Consider the following 8,158-nt stretch of genomic DNA (forward strand, 5'->3'; position numbering starts at 1 on the left):
TTCCCATTCTATTCAAAGTCATCCCTCTGCTCACTGAGATAAATGCATTATCTGATTGCCTTCTTTGGAAAGGCTAAACAAAAACTCAAAAAAAAAAAAATGCAACCACTTGTTTCTCACCTACTAATGACCTGGAAATCTCCTTCATGCTTTGAGTTGTCTCTCCTGAACCAACATACAACTTACACATATTGATTGATGTCTCATCAAAAATGTATAAAACCCATCCGTGCCCTGATCACCTTGGGCAATTCTCATCACAACCTCCTGAGGCTGCATCATGGGCATGCATCCTTAATTTTGGCAAAATAAACTTTCTAAGTTGACTGAGACCTGTCTCACATATTTTCAGTTTGTATTTGGTGACCAACGGAAGGAACTCTGAGTGGAGGTGGTCCTGACCTTTGACAAATCTCTTATGGGGGCTTGGTACCAGCTTGAGCTATCTTTATGGCTCAAACCTATAAGACAATTTGCTGAGGCTTGGAAGCTACCCTCCCTCCAGAGGACCTCTAGTCTCCCAAAATTTGCTTGAAATCGACAGTTTATTTTGCTGTATAACTCCTTCTCTGGAGTTTTACTTGCTTCCAACAATGAAGGCAAGATTTCCTGCTTCCATGAGGATGCAAAGCAGATAACTCTTTTCTGGAGTTTGAGCTCACTTCTAAAAGGGAAGGCAAGTTGGAGGTTATTTTTTCTGCTTCTAGGATGGTAGAGAGCAGTCCTCAGCCTGAGACGCATCCCCATGTCAGTAGCTTAGTTGGGGTTTGGTCTCAGCTAAAGTTAAGATTAACAACCAGCTGGTCTTAATTTCTCATTACCATTACAGTGCTCAATCATTTCTTTGTTTTGCTTAACTGCTTTTTTTGTTGTTGTTGCTGTTACCTGTTTGTTTCTGTTTTGGTTGTTGTTTTCAGTCTTTTTCCCATTGGGTTTTACCAGCTCTATCTGACTTCATCAAATCTGAAGGAAAGTTCCAAATTATTGGGAAGAAGACATCTGAAGTGGCTAAATTTCTGCCAAAAAAAAAAAAAAAAAAAAGTGGGGTGTGGAGGAAAACGGCCAGCAAAAGAAATAAGGGAAGATTTACATTATGACTACTTAAGGGGCTTTATTTACATAACAAGGCCACCTTTTTGCTAGCCAAGCCAAACTGAAAGAGCAATGGCTGTTGCCCCATGCTGCAGTTCCATAGCTAAGGTTCTGGTTGCCCTTTTTTTTTTTTTTTTTGTCCACCAGGACAGCCTGTCTTGGTTCCTAAATCAAGCCCTTTCTAGTTTGATACTCGTTACTCTTAAAATATTAGCAATTTGTTCTAGCTAAAATATAGCAAATAGATTTAAAAAGATTTTTTAAAGGAACGCAATGGTTAAAAGCCAGCTTAAAGTTAACATCCAAGATGTGTGTGTGTATGGGTGCATATGTGTGTTTGTATTAAAAGGTCTTCATTTTTTTTCTTTTTCTCTCCTTGGACCTTGTCTTTTTTTTTTTTTTGGAACAAAAGTTTTTTTCTTCTCAGCTGACTGAATTATGTTTCTCCATTTACTTCTGCTGTCTCTCCTTTCTCTTGCCACCCTCTGCTGCATGAGAGACCTAAAATAGTTTATAATAGCCTGAAATTTCTTAAAGAAAAAAAAAGTGGGGGGAGATTGTGCCACACTCCCTTCTGGGGCGTAACCTCTGTTTTTCTTTATGGTACTCCAAGGGTGTAAACAGACAAGTTTGGCTCAGATATTAAACTGCTTGTGTTAGCTGATTTTTGACTAAAATAGTTATTACAACAGAAGCTATTCTTGAGTTTTTAAAGAAGAGTGTAGTTTAGACACTTAAAAGTTTTTCTTTAAAATAATTTTTTTCAGTGCACTGTAAAAGCAACATGTGGTCTAGCCTCATAATAATTCTCCCTTTTTGGAGCCCCAGGATTCAATGTGGGCTCTGCCTAGAGCTTAGGGATCCAATGAAAAGATAGATAGTCCCTATCTAAAAACAAATGGGTCTCCTTATACAATCCTATATTTCTATAATTTCATGTTTGATTTGGCATCTATCTTTAATCTTTCTCTAGCACCACAAGACTCTCTCTGTACTTTGAGATGTAAATTTTGCTATCTGATTTTTCACCAAAGAGTTCCTTTAATATGCACATTTAGGGCTATCTAGCTGACAATTGCCTAGGGCAATAAAATAGGTTATCAAAAAATTGGAAATCTAAAATAGGAGAAAAAATAGAGGTCTAAATTTATAAGATCTACTTCTATCTACATGTCTAATACGTCTGTGCATTTATGTGTCATGTATATGATGTTTCATACTAAAAATGTATAAAGAAGTTCTAATTAATTTGCTTACAAAAGCTTAAATCAAATACTTTATCAGAAAAATAGAGGCTTTGAGCCTAATGCTTTTTAAAGTTCACATGACTTAAGTAAATCTTTATTAAATAAGCTGGTTTTTAGAATTTTTAATGAAATAGAATTAGAAATGGCTTCAGAATTGTCAATGCACATTATTTATCTCTGCTATATATCAAAATTTGTCATGAGGTTTATAAAGCTATAAATGCAGCTCAAAAGAAAATTATACTTGTTTATGTAAAATTTAATAAATAAGATAGTTAATACTGTTTGGTTAATGAAAATAGCTAAATCCGGAGTTAATGGCAAAAAAAAATTATCTAAACTTAAATTTATTACTGAGGAAAACCTGAAATTCACAGGTTATAAACATAGACAACAAGGAAATAACTTTAAATAATTATCCCAGTTTTCATAAGTAATCTGGGTAAACTATTTTTAAAAACTAATTAATTAGGTAAATGTAATGGAATAAATGCTTTTAGATAATCTTGTCTTATAATTTAAAATCTAAAGTTATATTAAGATAAATAATAGATATTCATTCAATGTCTAGGCCATTTGTATTTTTATGTAACAGAACACAGTTGGAGAAACTGGTTATTTTACCAAGGTTTTGACTGGAATAGAGTGCTTTCTTCTAAGGAATCAAACTTGACTTATAGAGCCAATAAAAGCCCCTTGAGAAATCTGGCCTTATACCTTGTCTACACAGTCCCTGTACAGGGCTCCTTACCTGTACTAAGTAAAGAATGTCACTTTCTGACAGGCCTGGGAGCTCCAGATTATCTTGGGATCTCAAGAACAGAGGAATTTACCCGACTCATAGGTATTTGATGTTACAAAGCCATGGCTTGGCTCGACTTTAAAAAAGTTTTATCTGAGATTTCTTCTATGGAACGAAGTTTCATCAAAGCCAATTTTTAAAAAGCCCATTTAAAAAATAATTGTTCTTCCTGCACTTTTCTATAATCAGGCCAAGTATAATAAAGCAAGTAAAATAAAATTGAAAAATGGGAAACTGAAGAGAGAAAAATTATGTTTCAAAAACTATAGCAAACTTGTTAGATTCTAGTCTTGCCTAATGTTTTTACATTTTTATTATTTTGTAGTTTGGACTGAATTCTAATTTTTCCTGGCTATAAGTCTCCAAAATAACATTTTTATATTTTTTCCTTCTTTCTTTTCTTTTCCCTCAATTTTTTTCTAATTTGAAATCATTGAATATTAAGCTGTGCTTTCTTAAATCCCTGCAAACAGAAGCCATACAACTTAAACTACAGAAGAAAATAACAGCAACCTATTTACATGTATAAGCCACTTTTATACCTACCTACTAATGTATGGCAGAGTAATATGGCCTATATCAACTTTCCAGGATTTCTATTTTTTGTTCATTTTTTTTTCTCTCTTTCTCCCTCTATTATCTCTTCCTAGAACATTGGACTTCACAACCTGCTAAAAGTGAGTTTGTCTAATAACATGGGACCTACCCATCTAGAAATAAACCACCCTGGCCATGAGAAATAAGAGGAAACCTGAGACCAGAGACAAAAAAAAAAAAAAAAAAAGATTTCTCTGAAAGGTTTTATAAAGGGGAGAAATATAAAAGGAAAATGAATCTTGGGCCTCAAAATAACTACACTAAAGGGAAAAGTCAGACTGGAAACTGCTTAGGGCAAATCTGACTCCCATTCTATACAAAGTCACCCCTCTGCTCACTGAGATAAATGCATATCTGATTGCCTCCTTTGGAAAGGCTAATCAGGAAATCAAAGAAATGCAACTGTTTGTCCTTCACCCACTTATGACCTGGAAACCCCAACCCTGCTTTGAGTTGTTCCACCTTTCTGGGCTGAACCAATGTGCAACTTATATATGTTGATTGATGTCTTATGTCTCCCTAAAAATGTATAAAACCAAGTTGTGCTCTTATCACCTTGGGCACATGTCACTGGGACCTCCTGAGGCTGTGTCATGGGCACATGTCCTTAACTTTGGCAAAAGAAACTTTCCAAATTGACTGAGACCTGTCTCAGATATTTTGAGTTCACAATGTCAATTGCCAACTTTTTAACGGGATTATTTTTTTTTTTCTTGCTAATTTGTTAAAGTTTCTTGTAGATTCTGGACACTAGTTCTTTGTTTACCATATAGTTTGCAAATATTTTCTCCCATTCTGTGTGTTGTCTGTTTTTTTCTGATGATAATTTCTTTGGCTTTGCAGAAGCTTTTTAATTAAATTTGGTCCCATGTATTTATTTTTGTTTTTGTTGCATTTGCTTTCAGGGGCTGATATGGTTTGAGTCTGTGTTCCCACCAAATCTCATGTCAAATTGTAATTTCCAGTGTTGGAGGCACGAATGGATTAACATCTCCCTTTCAGTGCTACTCTTGTGATAGTGAGTGAGTGTTGAGTGAGTGAGTGAGTGAGTGAGTGACTTATTGGACGATCTGGTAATTTAAAATCATGTAGTCCCTCCTCCCTCCCTCTCTTTCTCCTGCTTCAGCCATGAGAAGTGCTGGCTTCCCCTTCACTTGTCACCATGATTGTAAGTTCCCTGAGGCTTTCCTAGAAGATTATGCTGCCATGATTTTATACAGCTTGCAGAACCATGAGTCAATTAAACCTCTTTTCTTTATAAATTACCCAGTCTCAGGTATTTCTTTATGGCAATGCAAGATTGAACTAATAAAGGAAATTGGTACCAAGGAGTGTGGCATTGCTATCAAGATACGTGAAAACGCAGAAGCAATGTTGGAATTATGTAACAGTCATGCCGGGTTCAGTGGCTCACGCCTGTAATCCCAGCACTTTGGGAGGCCTAGGTGGGTGGATCACGAGGTCAGGAGATTGAGACCATCCTGGCTAACACGGTGAAACCCTGTCTCTACTAAAAATACAAAAAAATTAGCCGGACGTGGTGGCGGACACCTGTAGTCCCAGCTACTCGGGAGGCTGAGGCAGGAGAATGGCATGAACCCAGCAGGCGGAGCTTGCAGTGAGCTGAGATCATGCCACTGTACTCCAGGCTGGGCGACAGAGAGAGATTCCATCTAAAAAAAAATAGAAAAAAAAGAGTCTGGAGGGCTTAGAAGAAGACAGGAAAATGAGGGAAAATTTGGAACTTCCTAGAGACTGCTTAAACTGGGATCAAAATGCTGATGGTAATATGGACCGTGAAAGCCAGGCTAAGGAGGTCTCAGATGAAGATGAGGAACTTTTTGAGAACTGGAGCTAAGGTCACTTTTGTTATGCCTTAGCAAAGAAGTTGAAGGAATTTTGCCCCTGCCCTAGGATTTTGAGAAACTTTGAACTTGAGAGAGTTGAGATAGATGATTTAGTGTATTGGGTGGAAGAAATTTCTGAGCAGCAGAGTGTCCAAAATGTGACCTGGCTGCTTCTAACCACCTAAGTTTATACATGTGAACAGACAAATGGCCTGAGACTGGAACTTACATTTAAAAGGGAAGCAGAGGATAAAAGTTTGGAAAATTTGCAGCTCACTTAGGTGATAGAAAAGAAAAGCCAATTTTCAGGGGAGTAATTCAAGCAGGCTGTAGAAATCAGCATAACTAAAAGGAAGGCAAGCGGTTATATCTAAGACAATGGGGAAAAGGCCAACAAAGCATTTCAGATTCCTTCATTGCAGCCCCTTTAATTACATGCCCTGAGACTTAGGAGGGAATAATGATTTCCGGGGCTGGTCCCAGTGCCCCATTGCCCTATGCAGCCTCAAGACACTGTTCCCTGCATGCTAGTTACTTCAGTTCCAGCCATCCAGCCATAGCTCAAAGGGGTTCAGGTAAAACTCAGGGTGCTGCTTCAGAGGGTGCAAGCCATAAGCCTTGGCAGCTTTCATGTGGTGTTGAAGCCTGTGGGTGCACAGAGTGCAAGAGTTGAGTTCACCTAGATTTCAGAAGATGTATGGAAAAGCCTGAATGTCTAGGCAGAAGCCTGCTGCAGTGGCAGAGCCTTTATGGGCAACCTCTAATAAAGAAGCATTAAGGGGAAATGTAGGGTTGTATCCCCTACATGGAGTCCCCACTGAGGCATTGCCTAGCAGAGATGTAAAAAGAGGACCAGCATCCTCCAGATCCCAGAATGGTTGATATGCTGGCAGCTTGCACTGTGCTTCTGGAAAAGCTGCAGAGCCTATAAGAAGCAGCTGTGGGGGCTGAACCTGGAAATTCACAAGTGTGGGGCTGTCCAAGGCCTTGGGAGCACACCCTTTGCACCAGTATGCCCTGTATGTGAGACATGGAGTCAAAGTGTTACCAGGAGGTCCTTGCTCCCAGAGCTCCCAAGATGGCGGTGGGTGTGGGGAAAAGCAAGAGAGATCAGATTGTTACTGTGTCTGTGTAGAAAGAAGTAGACATAGGAGACTCCATTTTGTTCTGTACTAAGAAAAATTCTTCTGCCTTGAGATTCTGTTAATCTATAACCTCACCCCCAACCCCGTGCTCTCTGAAACATGTGCTGTGTCAAACTCAGAGTTAAATGGATTAAGGGCGGTGCAAGACGTGCTTTGTTAAACAGATGCTTGAAGGCAGCACGCTCCTTAAGAGTCATCACCACTCCCTAATCTCAAGTACCCAGGGACACAAAAACTGCAGAAGGCCGCAGGGACCTCTGCCTAGGAAAGCCAGGTATTGTCCAAGGTTTCTCCCCATGTGATAGTCTGAAATACAGCCTCGTGGGAAGGGAAAGACCTGACCGTCCCCCAGCCCGACACCCGTAAAGGGTCTGTGCTGAGGAGGATTAGTAAAAGAGGAAGGAATGCCTCTTGCAGTTGAGACAAGAGGAAGGCATCTGTCTCCTGCCTGTCCCTGGGCAATGGAATGTCTCGGTGTAAAACCCGATTGTATGCTCCATCTACTGAGATAGGGAAAAACCGCCTTAGGGCTGGAGGTGGGACCTGCGGGCAGCAATACTGCTTTGTAAAGCATTGAGATGTTTATGTGTATGCATATCTAAAAGCACAGCACTTAATCCTTTACATTGTCTATGATGCAAAGACCTTTGTTCACGTGTTTGTCTGCTGACCCTCTCCCCACAATTGTCTTGTGACCCTGACACATCCCCCTCTTTGAGAAACACCCACGAATGATCAATAAATACTAAGGGAACTCAGAGGCTGGGGGGATCCTCCATATGCTGAACGCTGGTTCCCCGGGTCCCCTTATTTCTTTCTCTATACTTTGTCTCTGTGTCTCTTTCTTTCCTAAGTCTCTCGTTCCACCTTACGAGAAACACCCACAGGTGTGGAGGGGCAAACCACCCCTACAGGTGGGTCACTTCCAAAATGGCCACGGGCCACTTCCAAGATGGTAGCAAGCCTCGTGTTCTCTGACATGGGGTTCTTGGCCTCACGGATTCCAACGAAAGAAATCTTGGGCCATGCAGTGAGTGTTATAGCTCTATTAGAAGCTGTGGGTCACAGAAGAGAACCGTGGAACCCAGTGACTAGTGTTCAACTTGATTAGAATGAACCCGGGCACTTAGCAGTGCAGGAACAATGGCGAGCCTTTAGCCCAATCGGAAGCAGCAATGGGCGCCTCACTGGATCAGGAGCACAGTGAACACCCTGCCTGATCTGTACGGATGGAAGTCGGTGGTGGGTCTGCGAGGGCAGCAAACAGCAGTGGTGGACAGCGAGCGAAAGCTCAGCTTAAGCCATAACAAACACGGACCAGAAGAGTGCAGTTGCAAGATTTAATAGAGTGAAATAGAGTGAAAACAGCTCCCATACAAAGGGAGGGGACCCAAAGAGGGTAGCCGTTGCGGGCTTGAATGCCTGGGT

General features: G+C 40.2%; 2 annotated features.

Annotated features, from left to right (window-relative positions):
- Positions 528-1,416: an enhancer, noted in NCBI's record as "OCT4-NANOG hESC enhancer chrX:90199467-90200355 (GRCh37/hg19 assembly coordinates)". NCBI's record gives its function as "activates a minimal SCP1, AML or CMV promoter by ChIP-STARR-seq in primed H9 embryonic stem cells {active_cell/tissue: H9 hESC(primed)}" and the evidence as "EXISTENCE:reporter gene assay evidence [ECO:0000049][PMID:30033119]".
- Positions 6,782-7,407: an enhancer, noted in NCBI's record as "OCT4-NANOG-H3K27ac hESC enhancer chrX:90205721-90206346 (GRCh37/hg19 assembly coordinates)". NCBI's record gives its function as "activates a minimal SCP1, AML or CMV promoter by ChIP-STARR-seq in naive H9 embryonic stem cells {active_cell/tissue: H9 hESC(naive)}" and the evidence as "EXISTENCE:reporter gene assay evidence [ECO:0000049][PMID:30033119]".

The sequence above is a fragment of the Homo sapiens genome, chromosome X (assembly GCF_000001405.40).
Source record: "Homo sapiens chromosome X, GRCh38.p14 Primary Assembly".
In the NCBI taxonomy this organism is placed as follows: domain Eukaryota; kingdom Metazoa; phylum Chordata; class Mammalia; order Primates; family Hominidae; genus Homo; species Homo sapiens.